The sequence below is a fragment of the Homo sapiens genome, chromosome 5, assembly GCF_000001405.40.
Source record: "Homo sapiens chromosome 5, GRCh38.p14 Primary Assembly".
NCBI lineage: Eukaryota > Metazoa > Chordata > Mammalia > Primates > Hominidae > Homo > Homo sapiens.
In genome coordinates this window covers 133,872,382-133,891,417 of record NC_000005.10, presented here as the reverse complement: position 1 = coordinate 133,891,417, position 19,036 = coordinate 133,872,382, and the positions used below count along the sequence as shown (strand labels likewise).

At 48.5% G+C, this 19,036-nt stretch overlaps 4 annotated features.

Annotated features, from left to right (window-relative positions):
* Positions 6,254-6,454: a silencer, noted in NCBI's record as "peak5470 fragment used in MPRA reporter construct". NCBI's record gives its function as "represses an SCP1 promoter by STARR-seq MPRAs in K562 erythroleukemia cells {active_cell/tissue: K562}" and the evidence as "EXISTENCE:reporter gene assay evidence [ECO:0000049][PMID:32103011]".
* Positions 6,799-7,298: an enhancer, noted in NCBI's record as "H3K27ac hESC enhancer chr5:133219811-133220310 (GRCh37/hg19 assembly coordinates)". NCBI's record gives its function as "activates a minimal SCP1, AML or CMV promoter by ChIP-STARR-seq in primed H9 embryonic stem cells {active_cell/tissue: H9 hESC(primed)}" and the evidence as "EXISTENCE:reporter gene assay evidence [ECO:0000049][PMID:30033119]".
* Positions 7,299-7,800: an enhancer, noted in NCBI's record as "H3K27ac hESC enhancer chr5:133219309-133219810 (GRCh37/hg19 assembly coordinates)". NCBI's record gives its function as "activates a minimal SCP1, AML or CMV promoter by ChIP-STARR-seq in primed H9 embryonic stem cells {active_cell/tissue: H9 hESC(primed)}" and the evidence as "EXISTENCE:reporter gene assay evidence [ECO:0000049][PMID:30033119]".
* Positions 13,405-13,906: an enhancer, noted in NCBI's record as "NANOG-H3K4me1 hESC enhancer chr5:133213203-133213704 (GRCh37/hg19 assembly coordinates)". NCBI's record gives its function as "activates a minimal SCP1, AML or CMV promoter by ChIP-STARR-seq in naive H9 embryonic stem cells {active_cell/tissue: H9 hESC(naive)}" and the evidence as "EXISTENCE:reporter gene assay evidence [ECO:0000049][PMID:30033119]".

The window sequence follows — 19,036 nt, the reverse complement described above, 5'->3', positions numbered from 1 at the left end:
GAAACCCGGGACTCATCTTATTTTTAAAAACAAAGTGCCACATCTCCAGATGCTGCGGCCCACACCTCAGGCCATGTCCTCCAACAACCATGCCCCTGGTGTTCATGGGCCAAGACCCTGGCTCAGAGTGCTGGAGATACAGCCAGAAACCAAAATGGGGTGCCCACATTGGGCTCCAAATCTATATGATTCCAGCTTGGACAGAGATGCCAGTCTGCAGAGGCAGAGCTCCCATCTCAGCCACTTCTTTGACCTCAATGCATTCCACAAGAGACTCACCCAAGGGAATGACCATGTTTGGGGCCCTCTGGGCACAAAGGCCACATCTGGCAAAGGAGCCTCCCATGGAGCAGACATGGCTGACCTTTCTAGCCACTGTCTGAGGCCCAGGCTGCAGGGGACTTGGAACCCCATCAGCAACCACTGAGGCTGGTGCTTCCTGGCTTCAGAGGAGGATTCAGTTTTCTCATTTGTTGTGATGAACAGGCAGAAGCAACTCTCCGGGGAGGGAGCATGGGGACCACAGAGGAAAGCCTCCCACCTGTGCTCAGCATTGCTTCCCAGATGGCTTTTTCCCTCCAGATCAGCACTGTCCTACAAAAATACAGTGTGAACCACACATGCAACTTTATATTTTCTAGTAGCCACGTGAAAAAAGTGAAAGGGAATGGTAACATTAATTCGAATCATGCTTTTTATTTAATCTGATTTCTCCAAAATACCGTCATTCAATGTGTAATCAATACATAAAACTGTTAATGAGAGTCTATATTTACATTCTTGTTTTGTACAAAGTCTTTGAAATCCAGAGTATATTTTATGCTCACACATGTCAGTTTATATTAGTCACAGTTCAAGGCTCAAAAGCCACATGTGGCTGGTGGCTACTGTATTGGGCAGCACAGCTCCAGCTGTTCTAGGTGGGTGTGTGGGAGGGCCCACAGTAGAGAGGGGAGAGTCCCTGGAACTGGAAGGGCAGATCACATATCATCCATTGTTACCTTTTGTTAGGGGATGTGGGACAGCAAGCAGTGATGGGCCAGTCCTCAGGCCTTTGTGCATGCTATTTCCTGCCCACATGGCCGCTGCTTGGGGTGGGTAGAGGGCCAGGTTCTGGGGCCCTCGTGGGTCATCACACAGGGTGGAAAGAGTTCAGAAGCAAACTTGCTGGGGATGTGGGCCATGTGAATAGACAGCCTCCCACTTCCCTTACAATACTGTTTCTCCATGAGACAGGGGCGAGGTCACGCAGTCCTTACCAAATATTCCAGGGCCCTGGGTACACGCAAAGCACTGCTTTAGGGTCTGGAAATACATAGCGAAGTAACAAACATAGATCAAAATTCCTGCCTTCATGGGGCTTACCTTCTAGTTGGAGGTGGGGTGGGACAGAGGAAAAGACAGTAAATGAATATACGTATATATGAGGTGCTAAGAAGATAAACAAATCAGGAAGGGAGATGGGGTGTCCTGGGGCAGGGGAAGGTTTGCACTTGCATGTGGAGGAGTCAGAGAAGGCCCCTCTGAAAGATGACATTGAGCAGACACTGAAGGGAGGGAAGGAGGCTCACAGACATCTGGGGCAAGAGGTCCCAGGCAGAGGGAGTAACCCATGCAGATGTCCTGGAGCAGAGATGCACTTGGTGCATTGGAGCAGCAGCAAGGAGAAAGCCAGGAGGAGCTGGGGAGATCCAGCGGGGAAGCGAGAGAAAGAACGGCAGGAAACGGAGGGCCCAAGCCACAGGCCTTTCCAGCTTTGTAAGGACTTTGGTTTTTACCCTGGGTCAGATTAAAAGCCAATGGAGTGTTTTGAGCAGAGAAGTGACATGATCTGACTTCCATTTTGCCAGGCTGCTGGATGGGGAATTGGATTACTTTCCAGCTGCTGCTGTAACAAATTACCACAAATTTAGTGGCTTAAAAAACCACAAATCTATTACTTTACAGTGCTAAGTCAGAAGTCTGAAAAGCTCTTGACTTTGGCTAAAATCAAGGTGTCAGCAGAGTGTGTTCCTCTTGGGACTCTAGAGGAGGGTCGGTTTTCCTCACTCTTTCAGATATTGGCCGAGTTTGGTTCCATGGGCTGCAGGCCTGAGGTCCTGTTTCCTTGCTGTCAGCTGGGGCTGCCCCTGCCTCCTACAGGCCCTGCTGGGATCCTTGCATGGAGCCTCTTACCTCTCAGAGCCAACAATGCTGTTGGATCCTCACACTGTCTTCTCTCTGACCTCCTCCTTCCATTGTCACGTTTGTGACCACAGCCGGAAAAGGTTCTCTGATTTTAAGGACACCAGTGATTAGACTGGGCCCACTTGGGTAATACAGACTGCTGTCCCTGGCTCAAGGTCGTGAACCTCAACCCCATCTGCAAAGGCCCTTTAGCCATGTAAGGCATCATAGTCATAGGTTACAGGGATGAACAGGTGGGCGTCTTTGGGGGCATCATTCTGCTGATCATAAGAACAGACTAGGTGGTGGTGAGTAGAAGGAGGCCAAGGCAATAATCTGGCCAGAGAGGGTGGTGGCCTGGACCAGGGTTGTAGGATAGAGGTGGAGTGAAGTGATCAGATCCTGCATGTGTTTTGAAGGTAGACCCGGCAGGACATGCTGACAGATTGGACAAGCATGTGGTCTTCGAGAGAAAGGAAGGAATGAAACATGACTCCTAGATTTTGTCCTGAGCAACTGGAAGGATGGCGTGGGCCCTCTCTGAAATGGAAGGCTGTGGGAAGAGCAGGCTTAATGTTTACAGGGTCAGGATGGGAATCAGGATTTCTAAGAAATCCTGACTCTTGCAGAATCCTGATGTAAACTTAGGGAGGAAGAAAGATGGAGAACACCATTAAGGGGTCAGCCAGCAAGCCTCAGGGAGAGTGCTCACTGTGGCTGCAGCTCATCTGATGAGCACCTACCTGCCAGGTGGCGTGGAAGCACTCACCTCATCAGCTTAACGCTGCGGCAGGAGCTAACCACCACTGGGGACTCAGCTCTCACTGAGGAGACTAGAGTCAAGTGCAGGACACGCTAACTTCCAGGGCAAGATAGTGGCTTTGTAGAGTCTGACTCCAGGGCCATGTAGATCTGACTTTGATATATTTGATGTCTCTCAACTTGGCTGCTTTTTTTTTTTTTTTTTTAAGGGCTGTACATGAGGTTTCCAGCTGCAAATAAGCATTATCTGGTCCTGGCAGATGGTAGATGCACCTGACAACAATAACTTAACCATACCCTGAGAATGACCCTGGATGGCAGATGTACCTGACAGCAGTGGCGTGGTTTGAGAAATGAGAGTTGCACAAAGAGGTTTCTGTGGGGAGGGTGCCAAATGAAGGTACTATATAAGCTGCATGCTTTTTTTTTTTTTTTTTTTGAGACAGAGTCTCGCTCTGTTACCCAGGCTGGACTGCAATGATGTGATCTCGGCTCACTGCAACCTCTGCCTCCCGGGTTCAAGTGGTTCTCTCACCTCTGCCTCCTGAGTAGCTGGGACTGCAGGCACATGCCACCATGCCTGGCTAATTTTTGTATCTTTAGTAGAGATGGGGTTTCACCATATTGGCCAGGCTGGTCTTGAACTCCTGACCTCAAGTGATCCACCCGCCTCGGCCTTCCAAAGTGCTGGGATTACAGGCGTGAGCCACCATGCCTGGCCAAGCTGCATGCTTTTTGCAAGCAATTGTAGTTCTTCTGTCTAGCCCACAGTCACTGGACTGTCCCTGTATGTAAGTTCCCCTAAATAAAACCCTATGTCTCTTTTGCTGGCTTTGGGTCTCTTCTTCAGCCTCTTAAACCTGGTGCCATCACTATTGGAGTGAACAGGGGTCTAGCACAACAGTGGGGACCCAGGGGAAAAAAGCTGAGGTCTACCCACAAGACAGGCTTGTGAAGGAAGAGTCCTAGGCTCCCCACCCAATCCTGAAGCCATGGCTGCCCTCTCTCACAGTTGATGTCTGTGGCCTCCCCAGTCCAGTGTTCAGGTTGCCCCATGTCCGATATCCTTGGTCTCCTGTGTCTGTGTCTATGATCTCTCATGCATAATTGCCATGGCCTCTCATGTCGATGTCCAAGATCGCCCATGTCCAATGTCCACCTTCTCTCACGTCTGGAATTCTTTCCTAAAGCTGCTGGACAGGCTAGGGCAGCCAACATGGCAGAATGCCTGGCCCTGGTGACCTTATTCTGGATGCATATGGCTAACTTGGGAGCCAGGATGGATTTCTGTAGGATCTCCTCACCCCCAAAAGAAGGAGGTGTGTCTGCACCAGAGAGCTAAGCTCCACCATTCTTTTGTATGACATGAACAGTGAAACAGCTCTCTTGCCAAAATGCTGGAACCCACGTGATGATCAAAGGAGACACTGACCCCTGGCATGGAGAGAGTGCCTGATGGTATTGAAAACAGAGGATGAGGGCAGGGTGGGGGCAGCCTCCAAGTGTGCCTGCTTCAAAAGAAGTAGGTGTTAGTTAATTTGTTTGTTTTTGAGTCTCACTCTGCCGCCCAGTCTGGAGTGTGGTGGTACAATCATAGCTCACTGCAGTCTTGAACACCTGGGCTCAAGTGATCCTGATCCTTCTACCTCAGTCTCCCAGGTAGCTGGGACTGACTGACAGGCATGTGCCATCATGACCAGCTCATTTATTTAAATTTTTTTTTTTTTGTAGAGATGGGGTCTTTCGATGTTGCCCAGGCTTGTCTTGAAGTCCTGGGCTCAAGTGATCCTCGTGGCTTGGCCTCCCAAAGTGCTGGGATTACAGGTGTGAGCCACTGTGCCGGGCCAGGTCCTAGTTAATTGATGTGGGATTTGTATTCTATTTCAGGTTTGAAGGTAAATTGGAACTTTGTTCTGTAAATATATATATGTGTGTGTGCATGTGTGTGTATATATATGCATGTATGTATGTATATATAAAACAAGGCTTCTGGATGGGTTAGATAAGGACTTGGTCCTTAAAAATTCAGAAGATATTTATTGAGTGCCTGCCCTGTGCCAGGTATTCTAGGCACTGGTGTACAGCAATGGACGAAACAGATGAAATCCCTGCCCTCACAGAGCTTATATTCTTCTTAGAGAGTAGACAGGAAGAAACAATGGACAATGTAAGTAAAATGTATGGTACAGCAGGAAATCATAAGTGCTAGGAGAGAAGAAGTGGCAGGAAGGGAAGGTGGGGCCTCAGGGTGACTGGCCAGGGAAGGCTTTGTAAAGAAGGGGCCTCTTGAGGAAAGACTTGAAGGCAGAGAGGAAGGAGGCCTTGGAGATATCTCAGGGAAGGGCATTCCAGGCAAGGCACCAGCAGATACAAAGACCCAGGGCTTCGGTGGCTTCCAGGTCCAGCCCGGGAGGAGGCTGGTGTGGCTGGAGTGGGGGAAGTGAGGAAGAGGGTATGAGCTGGGGGCCAGATCCTGGAGGGCCTTGGTAGGTCTTGGTTGAGAGGTTGGCATTGGAGGGTTCCAAACAGAGGGGTGACATGACCTGATTTTCATTTTAGTAGGCCTGCTGTGGCTCCTGTGTGGAGAATACATTGTGGGAAGGCAGAGGCACACAGAGGGAGAGAGACAGTGGTGGTTTGGACCGACCATGGTGGCCGTGAGGGTGAAGTCTGCCTCAAGAGATCACTGGGTCTGACTTCCTCTGTTTTAGATGGGGAAATTGACTGAGGGGGCATAAGGGGAAACCCTTGTCAAGCTCTCCCTAGGGGCTGGTGGCTGGATGGAACCCCAGATCCGGCCTCTGGCCTCGCACACCATTGCCCAAGGCCTTTCCCTTGGGTGGCTTTTCTTCCACACCTGGTCTCGATTGGACCCTCACTTTGGAGGATAGGGGGTGTGGCCCGAAGACCAAGTCCACTCTGTTGCCCTCGCCTCCCCCCAGCTCCTCCTCCTCACAATGAGGCACCCTCCTCCCCCGTCAGCTCCCCCCGCTTTTCCCTCCCTCCTTTCTCTGCCTCCTCTTCTTCATCTTCCTCCTCCTATTTCTCCTCCCCCTTGTCCTGGTTGAAGAAGGAGTTGAGGCCAATTTGAGGGTAGCCTGTTGCTGAAGTCTGGGTGTACGGGGTGGTAATTGGTGTCCACCAGCTGTCTGGGCCCTGTCGTTGGGGGATGAGGAGGAGAGGCCTTGGGTGGCTTTCCTGCCCCAGGTTCTGACTCACAGGGAAGCGGGGGGACATCTGATTTTCTATGGTGGGGAATCCCTGGAACAAGGACTGCCTTGGGGCAAGTCTTCTGCAAGCTGAGGAGGCCATCTTGGAGGAACGCCTGTGACTGTGACCTTCAGAGGGCTCCATTTGTTGGGCTATGTAGTAAGTAATGTCATTAAGATGAATGTGTGTTTTGGTAAAGGGTGTAAATATATGAATAGTGTCCTCTCCAGCCCCATATATCACCCTGTGTTTATTCAGTGCCTGGTGCATAAGCTAGAAGGCACACATTGCTATTTGGGGCTGTGAGTTTTACAGTACATTAAAGGAGTTTACTGAAAACTCTTGGCAAACAGATAAAATACAATTACTCTCATTCCCAAGGCATTGCAGTCAGAATGTTCTGAAAACCTGCAGTGTAATAATTCACAGGAAGCCGTGGCAGGCAGCCTTTGAGGCATCAGAAGCGCTGCTTTTGTAAACTTCAGAGGCAGCCAAGAGTTGTCCCTCGGGAGACCCTCGTCCTGTGTTTTATTAACCTCCCTGTTTCTGGCTGAGGAGCTGCAGGGGGAGTCTAGCCGGCAGGGCTGGCTCCTGCCCTCGTGAGCTTTTCTAGGGTCATGGTGTGGGGGAGGAGGAGATGAGACCTCCTGTGTTCTGTGCATGCCTCCCTGTCCATGTGACCTTCAGCAGCAGGTTCTGCTAGTCAGTCACCTGGCATGATGGGGAATTCTGACTCCCCATGAAGTGTCGTCCAGGACTCTTAGCCCTTCCTGAGAAATGGGTGTTTTTGGTGGGATACGTGGAAGAAGGATAATAGGGATCAGAATAATTCCTGGTACAGAGGTGGAGTTGTCACCCCATGGAGCTGGGGCAAGATCCCACAGGTGCTCTGGCCTGCCCTGCTTCACCCTACTTGCCGGGGAGATGAGCATGCAGACTCTAGGCACCACTGAGCAAGCAGTAACCTGTGTCACAATGGGTGCTAGCGCTGCTGTCCGGAGCCCAGGGAGATCCAGGATGGTCCTGGGGAGGAGAGTTGGTAAACAGTAGATGGCTTAGCTTCTGGGCCTCTTTGCAGTTTGAGGTGGATGACAGTCAGAGAGCCAGAACTTTGAGGGCCTCGGCCCCTTCTCCTGGAGCAGAGGGAGCAGAGGATGGGCTTTCCTTGAGCAAGCCTCCTCCCTGGATGCCAGTCCTGAAGCTGAGGGTGGGCCCACTCCCTACAAGTTGGGCTGGGTCTGCTATGCTGAAGGCCACGGGTAGGCCCAGAGCATTTGTGGGAGGTGAGCAAGGGGTCTCTAGCCAGTGATGCATAGAGTGGGCAGAGGTGGCTGGAGGGCAGGGGCAGCCCAGTCCCTTCGATGAAGGCCTCTGCATCAACCAGCATCTGTGACCAAGTTCTCAGAGCAGAACACATCCTTGTGGGAGAAGCATCTTGAACAAACCAGAGACATTGCAGCAGCCAAACCCAAATCAGTTGCATGAGCTAAAATGCTGGGGGTCTGAGGTGTCAGGTGGGATGAAAGTCTGGAGGGAGAGATTTCTGGACACCACTGTCTACCTGCACTGATAGTTGACTGTGACACGGCACTCACTTGTGTCACAAAAATACAATAATAACGAATATCTGCCCAAAATGGTTGTGCTTGGAATTTACAAAGCATGCACTTCCGGGTGCCAGGATTGCTGGTAAAGGGCCAGAGGGAGTGTGCTCCCTGCGGCTGCCTCAGTGGGGTGGTTCGTGTGCTGTCCCTTAGGGAGGCAGTCCCAGGGCTTTCAGCCGGAGTCTGACTTTGATGTCTCTCAACTTGGTGGCTTGTTTTCTTCTTTTAAAGGCTGTACATGAGGTTTCCAGCTGCAAATGAGCATTGTCTGGTCCTGGTGCTTAGCACACACAGCCTCATAGCTAGGTGTTGTGCTTGGAGTCCAGGCCAGTCAGGGTTCTCCCTTGGTGCGGGGATTGGGAACACTCCAGGTGACCCACATGGACTCCACCTGGACTTTCTTTCAGTCCCAGGCTCATCGGGAAATTGATAGCTTTGGCTGAGATTTAATTGCTTGGATAGAATAATATAAAGTCTCTCAAGGGAGATCCAGAAATTAGACCTGCTTAGCTTCCTGGACTGACCCCTTCTCAGCCACAGCGGCTGTTTGAAAGCACCCTCTTCCACCACCAGTGAGACTGCGTAAGTGGTGGTGTTTAAAGTAGTTCGACGTTCGAAGGGGCTGCTTATTAATCCAGCATTAGTCACGGTAGTTAAGCTTTTAGAGATAATGAAATGTAAATGTGCCTCCAGGACATGCCGCGTTTCCTGAAACTGAACACATTCGTGAAGAAAAATGGTTGCGGTAAGATTATGAAGAGTATTAATTGTATGGATTTACATACTCTACAGATGGCAATGCAGATGCTGGGGACAGCCAGGAGCCATGCCAGAAGCAGGCAGAAAGAGGGGCCGGCCTTTCTCTGCCCTTCCTGTAGAGGATGCTGCCTCAACTAGATACCAAAGCTTTTCTGCTGGAGTTTGTTTGTGTGTGTGTGTTTTATTTTTATTTTTAAGAGACAGGGTCTTGTTATGTTGCCCAAGCAGTCCTTAAACTCCTGGGCTCAAGCAGTCCTCCTGCCTTGGCCTCCCACTGGAGTTTTATGAGTGGAGAAACAGAGGGTCAGAAAGTTTAGAAAACCTGTCCAGGGCCACACAGGAAGGAGAGGCAGAGCTGGGCCACAGGCCTGGGCAGCCTGATTAGGCACTGGCTTCACCAGCTGCCCGCAGAGCGGCTCCCAGGGTGCCCTGTCCATCTGTGTCCCCGGTGGGGGCTTCAGCGCATCACTCGGCATCTATCCTGACCACTTCTCTCCTCTACAGCCCTCTTCCACCAGGACAGTGACGCTTAAAGTCAGAAGAGCCAGTGATGATGATTTTTAATCAACAGGTGTTAATTACAGAGCACCTGTGCATGCCAGGCACCATGCCAGGCTTCAGGTTCTGTTCATCTTGGAGCTGACATCCCAGCAGTCAACAAATCACCACCAAGTAGATGCGCAGCCACCACGTGCGAGAAGGGCTGGGCAGGCAAAAGAAGGAGAGTGATGCGAGATTAGAAGTGATGGTAATGATAACAACAGCTGACACTGGTTATTCGCTGCGTGCCCCACACAATTCAAAACATTTAGAGGGGACGACATTGTCCTTTTATCTTCATAGCAACTCTATGGATTAGCTTTGCTTTAAGACGAGGATACAGGTAGAGAGCGATTAAGCAGCTTATCCACGGTCCACAAGCAGGTGAGCAACAGACCGGGATTTGAACCAGGAAGTCTGACTCCAGATCCCCTGCTGTCCAGCACTGTGTGTTATTGCCTCTTACAGAAGAAAAGTAAACTAGGATTACTCAGGAAGCAGGGAAGCCTTGGCAGCGGAGGGCATGCTCACACTGGACCTGGGAAGTAGTTGGCCATGTGCAGGCGGCAGGGAGAGGGGAGTTCCAGGAGGGGAGCTGGGAGTGGGGGAAACCACAAGAAGGGAAGAGCTGGGTGCCTTGAGGGAGCTAACGGCTTCCTTGGGGCTGAGGCTGGGAGGCCAGGCCAGTGGGGTACAGCTCACCTTCACGGAGGCCCCTGGGGCTGTTGAGCTGTGAGTCCTTATCCTAAAAGCCACAGGAGGCTGGGCCAGATTTCTGAGCAGGGAAATGGCAAGAGTGATCATTCTTTCTGAGGAAATTCCTCAGTGAGGGGATGAGCCCTGCCCCCACTTCTGTGCCCCCATCAGCTTGGGAAATTGACATTTGGTATTTGGGGAGGGCATTGAAGTCAAGGGCAGTCTGGGTGCAGCACAAGCATCTGTTGGCTTGCACAGTCCGTTTCCAGACTTTGAAGAGGGAGGGAAGAGCCTGGCCACATCACCTTCCGAGGTGGTGTGGTGTGCAGGAAGGATGAGAGACCAGCCAGCCCTAGAGCTGTGTGTGTATGTGTGTGTGTGTGTGTGTGTGTGTGTGTGTGTGTGTATGTGTGACGCCTTCTGAGACAGGACAATTGGTGAATGCATTAGCATTGGCATGCACATTAATCTTTGAGGGAACTGCAGCCCAGCCATGGCTTATTGGAAAGATTATAGCCCCGAGGAAAGACACACATTGGTTAGTAATGACCTGAAGTTTATGAGTCCCAGGACCACTGACTCTTAGTGGGGAACGACTATTTGTAGTACAGAAGGAAGTGCCCCTTGGTGTTGAAAAGGAAAAGGCTACAGTGCATAACTTGGTGACTGTCACACACTTAAAGCAGAAGGAGATGGGGACTGAGGAAGTGTCTGATTCTGCCCTACAGTGGGATTCTCTGGGGGAAGATTTTGGTTGGTGTGTTATTTTGTCAAGCTCCAGGAGAAGGCCAGGGTCTCAGTGACCAGAGTGGGTCGAGAGCTGGGAATGTACAACACACATTTTCCTAGAAAATAGAAATACCAGCTGGGCATGGTGGCTCACACCTGTAATCCCAGCACTTTGGGAGGCTTAGGCAGGAGGGTCACGAGGTCAGGAGATTGAGACCATCCTGGCTAACATGGTGAAACCCCGTCTCTACTAAAAATACAAAAAATCAGCCGGGCGTGGTGGCGGGTGCCTGTAGTCCCAGCTATTTGGGAGGCTGAGGCAGGAGAATGGCGTGAACCTGGGAGGCGGAGCTTGCAGCGAGCCGAGATCGCACCACTGCACTCCAGCCTGGGTGACAGAGTGAGACTCCATCTCAAAAACAAACAAACAAACAAAAAAAGAAAATAGAAATACCTCCATGGTACAGTTGAGGAGGTGAGAGGATGTGAACACACCAGCTATAAGAAAGTATGATAGGTGTTCACAAGAGGGGTAAGTCCAGGAGGGCTTCCTGGAGGAGGCAGGCATTGAGCTGGATTCCGTGACTCTCAGGACAGTGATCATTAAAACCTTGAATGCCTCAGCAGAATGGCCCAACCTTAGGGAAAGGTCCCACTTCTGTTAGATCCTCACGAGGTTCCATGAGCTGAGGTTGAGATAACAGCTCTCGAGACCAAGTCCAGGCTTCTCCTCTTGCTGGCCAAGCTTTGGGGCAGTGGTTCCCTACCTGTAGCTCTAGAGTTCCTCCATGGGAAGGAGAGGCTCAGGGCAAGGGTCTGTGCAAGGACGGAGCTAGAGGACTAGCTATGTTTGTGTGGCGCTTCACATGTGCAGGGAAACATGGGCAACTGTCCTATCAAGAGTGGGGGCACTGATAGAGCTGTGGCCCCAAAGACACCCCCAGCCACTCATGATCTCTGCCACCGTTCTCAGGGTCTGGTCTGAAGCCGTTGCTGGGCTGAGGGAGGCTTACCAACAGCAGCCCTCTCTCCTGTGTCTATGTCTAAGAACACAGGCTCGCATAGTTTGCAACCCACCAAGGGCTGTTCTTGACCCAGAACAACCCCTCATTCTTCTATGTCTGCCAAATTCCAGCCACCCTTTGGGACTTTTTCCCAGTCCTTCCTTTTGCACTCCCTAGAAGCTCCACAAGAGCAAGGGTTCCTGACTTCATTCCTTGATGTTTCCCAAGAGTGTAGAACAGTGCCTGGTGTGTAGTAGGTGCTAGGGAATATCTGGGTAATGAATGAATGAGACTTTCCTCTCCCTCCAGCCTTGGAGGTCCCATGGGATTTTTACAAACCCCAGCTGGCATTTATTGAGTTCATTCCTGTAGTGGTTTAATAGTATCCTCCCAACATTCATGTCCATGCAGAAACTCAGAACGTGACTTTATTTAAAATAGGGTCTTTTCAGATGTAATTAGTTACCATCTTGAGATGAAATCATCCTGGTTTAGAGTGGGCCTGAATCCAATGACTAGTCTTATATGAAGAGGTGAAGACACAGAGTACATACAGAAGAAGGGCCTGTGAGGGTGGAGGCAGAGATTGGAGCAATGCATCTAAAAGCCAAGGAATGCCAAGGATTGCCAGCTGCCACCTGAGGCTGGGAGAGCCACTGGGCAGATTCTCCCTCAGAGTCTCCAGAAACAGCCAACCCTGCCAACACCTTGATTTTGGACTTCTGGCCTCCTGAACTGTGAGATAATAAGTGTCCGTAGTTTTATGTTACCCAGTTTGTGGTGACTTTTTATGGCAGCCCCATGGCACGAAAACAATCCCTATTAATATTTTGTAAGCTCTCACTCCTTTCTAGACCAAGAGCTTGGTCAGATCAGGGAGCAAGTCTGGTTTACTGCTGGATGCCCAGTGCCTAGCAGGTGGGGTGACCAAGCATCCGGGTTTGCATGAGGACTGAGGGATGTCCTGGCAGGTAGGACTGTGACTGGTGGTGAATGTGTAAGTTCCTGCAGCAACCTCAACTCTTGCCTCCTCAGAAGAAAGACTTTGATAGAAAGGTATAAGTCAGAATGAGACAGTGAGGCAAGTTTTAGAGCAGGAGTGAAAGTTTATTAAAAAGCTTTAGAGCAGGGATGAAAGGAAGGAAAGTACACTTAGAAGAGGGTGAAAGGGGTGACTTGCAAGATCAAGTGTGTAGTTTAACCTGACGTGGGGTTTTATATGTTGTCATGCTTCCAGGGTCTTGTGTTCCTTCTCCCCTTATTCTTTCCTTGGGGTAGGCTGTCCGCATGTGCAGCGGCCTGCCAGTACTTGGGAGGGGAGCGTGTACAGTGTGTTTACTGGAGTTGTACGCATGCTCACTTGAGGCGTTATTCCCTTACCAGTGGAACGTTCCTAGAAAGTCATAGACCAGTTAAACTCCGCCATTTTGCCTCTTAGTGTGCATGCTGAGCCCACTCACCCAACTTCTGAGATCTTACTGGGAAGCTGCTGATTACCAGTTTCAGGATTTTTTCTGTCTATTGGGAGACTGCCTTTCCCTGTTGCCAGCTATGACTAATTACTGTTTTAGAGAGACAGTGTAACAGCTGCCTGACCCACCACTTGATGGTCATCTGACATTCCTGGTTGCAGAACAGAGGCGAGGGTGGGGGTGTGTTGGGGGCTCTCTCCTGCCCTGCCCATGTCTGCCTGACTACTTACTGTAACAGGACTTTCAGAGCTAAAATTTAGACAGACAACTGGTCACGCTGCCAGCACGGTGCCTAGCACCAGGCTGGGGAAGTTGTGTCTCAAGTGTGGAAACACTAGACGGCTGGGCCTGCTGTAGGTGTGTGCAGCAATGCTATGCAAATGAGCCTGGAGCTTGATACGAGAGGACTGAAGAATTAGCACCTTCTTCTCTGGGCAATGGGGAGCTGCGACAGGTCTCTGAGGGTTGCAGGGCTATTCCTGTGGAGGCCTGGGGATTCCTGGGCTGGAATGGGGTGTTCCCTCTAGGTCTGTTCCTGGGAGGTCCAGGCATTTCCCTTCAGAGCTGGCTTCCCACCCCCGGGGCCGTAGCTGGCACCTGCCAATAGGCTAGGCGCTTCTTTCTGAAACACAAGCTCACCCTCCTCCCATTTGAATATTCCGAATGGAACTGATTGCCTAAATTGAAGGTATTATGCTATAATGATTGTTATAATTAAAACTATTATCATCTGAAAGAGACCAGAACATGGGAAACCACTGCAAAGACTTTTAAAGCTTTCAAAGCAAGATAAAAGTGCCTTTGTATCAGTGTTTTAAGGAGAGGGAGACTGAATGGGCACCTGTGGGCTCTGAAATGCCACTCTGGCTGCAGCCAGGACAGGGAGCCTGGTTCTCAGTGAGGTGGGTGGGGGTGGCAGGGATATGTGGTCAAGGGGTGGCAGCTGCCCAGTTGGCCCACACCAGAGACTATGTGTGATGTGGGCAGAGAAGTAGTTGTTTTGAGGGCCCAGGGTCATGCTGGGATCGACAGAGCATTGCTGTGAATGTGGGGCTTGTTGAAACAGTTGCATCCTCCCACCTTTGGGGTAGACAGCTTGGCTTTTGCAGCAGAAAGGGAGGCAGTGTCTGGGCCTGGAGGTAAGAGACCTTGGGGCCTCCAGATGGTTGCAGGAGGGGACAGAGCGTCTAGAGTTGTGGGCTCCAGGAAGACCTGGTTTGGCAGTGTTACCGGAAACGGATCCCAATCCAGACCCCAAGAGAGGGTTCTTGTACCTCATGTAAGAAAGAATTCGGGTGAGTCCCTAGAGTAACAGGAAAGCAAGTTTGTTAAGAAAATAAAGGAATACAAGAATGGCTACTCCATAGGCCGAACAGTGGCATGGGCTGCTCGACTGAGTATACTTATAGTTATATCTTGATCATATGCTAAACAAGGGGTAGATTTTTCATGAGTTTTCCAGGAAAGGGACCAGGATTTCCTGGAACTGAGGGTCTCTCCCCTTTTAGACTATATAGAGTAACTTCTGGACATTGCCATGGCATTTGTAAACTGTCATGGCATTGGTGAGAGTGTCTTTTAGCATGCTAATGCAGTATAACTGCTTATGAGCAGTGAGGATGACCAGAAGTCACTTTCATTGCCATCTTGGTTTTGGTCAGCTTCTTTACCACAACCTGTTTTATCAGCAGGGTCTTTGTGACCTGTATCTTGTGCTGACCTCCTGTCTCATCCTGTGACTAAGAATGCCTAACCTTTTGGGAATGCAGCCCAGTAGGTCTCAGTCTCATTTTACCCAGCCCCTATTCAAGACGGAGTTGCTCTTGTTCAAATGCCTCTGACAGTAGGACCTGTTCTTGCCACAGGCTCTGAACTTGGAACCCCAAGGCTCACGTTACCCAGGTGGGTGTGGAGCTGGTGTGCAGGAAGAGATGCAGGCTGAGAAGGGGAGGTGCTGACATGGCAGGCAGCCACACTCCTAAGACCATTTAGACTCTCACTCTGCCCTGCCTCCCCACCCCGCATTGTACAGGTTAGGAGACTGTGGTTCTGAGAGGGAATGTGTAGGCCAGGGTCACCCAACTGGTAAGGGGTAGGGCCAAGCTCTGGACCCCAACCCTAGGGTGCTGGGCCCTTCACCTTGGTCCTCTCTGGCAGCTGGTGGTGGTGGCCATGCTGAACAGGCTCTTTTTGGATTGGTACTGTGGGTGTGAACTTTTGGCTTGGTTGAGCTCTTTGCTATATTTTGTCTGAACTTGGTTTCACTTTTTTCTTTTCCTTCTTTAAGATGAAAAGATTACGTGATAAGTATATTAATTCTTGATAAGAAATCAGAGTATGAATGATAAAAACTAACATATAGTCCTAATTTTAGACATTTGTGTGTTTGAATATGTGTATGTATACTACATTTAATCCCCATATAATCCCACGAGGTAGGTATTATTTCTCTTTTATACACGAGAACATGGACACCCTTGCCTGAGAACACACAGCTGAACCTAGAACCCAGGCAGGCCAGAGCCTATGCATTTGATTCCTATGCTATGTTGCAAAGGGTCACAGAATATGCCAGCCACCAAAATGCCACTTTGGCATAAGGATTATTTTGAGCTAAAGGCAATTGAGATGAAGCAGATACAAGAAAATTATTTTTCCTCCCCTACAATTGCTTCCATTTATCCTTAAGGAGAAAGTGAAAGTCTCCCTTGAGAATATTCCCTGTCACTCACCAGTCTTACTCTCTCCCCGTCTCACAGAAGCCCACAGTTACACTTTGGTCTGTCTTGTTTCATACCTTTTCCCATGAATTTACACAAACAGTTTCTCTGCCCTCCTCATCTTTGCCTAACACAGGACATACATTTACAAAGGTGTCCCTCCTCCCCTCTCTACCAGGAAGGACAAAGGTTGATCACAAAATACAATTTAGACCTTGATTAGTCAGGAGACTGCACCAGAGGAATCTATGTACCCAAATTTAGTAATTAGTCTTTACCACTTGTTTCCCATATATTTGCCTTCCCACAATTTGCCTCCTTTAGAGACTCAAGGTTTTTTTTCTTTTGTCTTGTCATGTCTCTAAAAATTTATTGTTCTTTGTTAGGATGCTATATACCCCAGAGTTGAAACCACCTCTTTGAGAGTTACTCTTTCCCTGACTTTTTGCCCATGTGTATATGAAATATACATATTGATAAGCTTTTTTTTGTTTTTCTCTTGCTGATCTGTCTTTTGTTACAGCAGTCCTAGCTAAGAACTCACAAAAGTAGAAGGAAAATTATTTTCCTTCCGTATAATTGCTTCCATCTATCCTTATGGAGAAGGTGAAAGTCTCTCTTGAGAACATTGCCTCTCACCCACCAGTCTGACTCTCTCTCTCCCTCTCACAGAGGGCCACAGTTATGCTTTGTTCTGTCTTGTTTCATACCTCTTCGTAAGAATTTACACACACAGGTTTTCGTGTTTTTGAACATAAGTCGTATCATTTGCTACATATTGTTTGCAACTTGTTTGCTTCACTGAACAATAAAATTGTGCCTATAAACCTTATAAAATTAAGAAAAAAGGGAGAGGGCCGGGTGCAGGGGCTCACACCTGTAATCTCAAGGGCAGATCACTTGAGGCCAGGAGTTCGAGACCAGCCTGGCTAACATGGTGAAACCCCGTCTCTACTAAAAATTAAAAAATTAGCCAGGCATGGTGATGTGTGCCTGTAATCCTAGATACTCAGGAGGCTGAGGCACAAGAATTGCTTGAACCGGGAGGTGGAGATTGCAGCAAGCTGAGATGATGCCACTTTATTCCTGCCTGGGTGATGGAGTGAGACTCTGTCTCAAAGGAAAAAAAAAGAAGGGAGAGGGAGAAATGACAATAAACCAAGCTTGCAGCACACCCAGGATTGATCATGAGGTCAGCTTGTTCTCTGACCTCCTGCTTCTTCATAGTTGTTTGGTGCCAATTGACTTAGAATGATGTAGATCCTGTTACAAGAGTGTAGTTCCTCTTAACTGTTCTGCAGACAACAACTTGAACACTATAAAACATTGTTTTCCATTTGAGATATTCTTTCAATGAGATATTCTTTCAATACTGATGTCAGCTGGTGTGAAGAGCCCCACAGGAGCTGACTCATCAAAGTATGCAATTTCCTCATCTGGATGATTCAATCCCCCTTACCCTGACAAATCAATGACTACAATTTTCCAGCCCCTCACCCTCCATAAAAAACCCCTTAAAAACCCCAGCCCAGAACTCCTCAGGGAGATGGATTTGAGGGTCTCCTCCCATCTCCTCACTCAGTGCTCTGTGATCATTAAATTCTTTCTCTGCCACAAACCCTACTGTCTCAGTATATTGGTCTGTTACTGAGCAGCAAACACAGGAACCTGTTGGTCCTATAACAACAATACATTTTGGAGATATTGTCCTGCCAACACCTTACCCTTTTTAACTGTTGCACACTATTCCCTGTGTATTTACTATAGAACGTATGCCAGTAATCATGAAGGTGCAAATTTAAAAAGAAGAAATGCAATTTTTTCACCTGGCAGTTTGGCAAACATTAAAAAGATTGCTATTGTCAAGTGTCAGCAAGGATAAGGGAGAACTCTGCATCCCTGCTGGTGGCAGTGTATGCTGGTACAGCCTTTGAGGGGGCAATTTGGCAGTATCTATTAAAATTTAAATCAAGTACACCATTGTCCCAACCACTCAGCTTTCAAGATCTCTGGCCTAGAGAAATACCTGCATACATGAGCAAAGAGGCATGATATTTGCCGTAGCACTGTAACAGTGCACCATTGAAACAGCCTGTTTTCTTTCTTGGTCTTGTCTGTCAGCTGACTAATAAGTTCCAGAGGCCAGGAGCTGGGTCCTTGGCTGTTTCTCAGCCTCGAAGGGGATGCAGATCTGACTGCATGCCAGGAGATCAGCAAACACTTTCTGGTTTTTTCTTCTTTAATATTCTATCCAGGTTCTGTGTATATAGGTATCAAAACAGAATACTGAAAACAAACAAACAAACAAACAAAACCAAAATAGAACTACTGGGCTTGTAATGAAAGATGGTAGTGCCCCGTCCCCTCACCCCCTGCTCCCATCTCCCGGGTTTCACCTGTTTTCAGTGTTTGAGTTTTTCTTGTATTTTCTCTGTATTTTTATGAAACTTGATGTAACTGCTATGTTTTTATTTTTTTATTTTCCACTTTAGAGATGATCAATTGACTTCCCTTTGTGGAAGGGAAGGCTTTTTTACTGGTATTACCTGCACAGCCTCCCCCATGGCCCCCGCAATCTTCCCCTTCCCCTGGCCTCTTGAGAATGTTAAATCTTCATTTTGGGCTAAGTCAATATTCAATGTTTACATTATTATGACTATGTAGCCATTATTCACAGCGAGCCATATGTAGTACTGTGATTATATTTTTCTTTCTTGTACAACTTTTAATTTTCTCAGAAGTTAATAATTGCCCCATTTCTTTTCATTTGTTTGTTTTATAGGTACCAATTACAAATTATTTCCCAAACTCCATGACAGAACTGAAAATCTCTGAATATTTCAAACACCTCAGGCAGTCTACTTGTTTTATTTGTTTTCTTATTTTTCAGACAGCCCTGCAGAGCCTCCCAGCCCCACCTCTGTCTAGACTGCTGTTCTCTAGCAGGTTTTCAATCTAGAATTTTGTCACCATCAACCAGGGCATTCCCTGGACCCTGGATTCCATTTTTTTCGGATCATGCTTTTTCTTGGATCTTTCTCTTCTTTGGGGGAAAATATTTCTGGTAACTTCCTGAGAAAGGGTGAAAAGGTGGTAAGTGTGTTTGAGACCTTGTTTATCTGAAATGTCTTTATTCTAGCCTCATATTTGATTGACAGTATGGCCGACTCTAGATTGTAAATCATTTTCCCTCAGAAATTTGAAGGCATTGTTCCATTGTCTTCTAGTTTCCATTGTTGTTGAGACATCAGATGCCTTTCAGATTCCAAGGTTTGTATTTGAGCTGCTTATTTTCTTTGGAAGCTTTTAGGATTTTTCTCCATTTCTGTGTTCTGCATTTCATGATTATGTTCCTTGGGATATTTTTGTTTTCT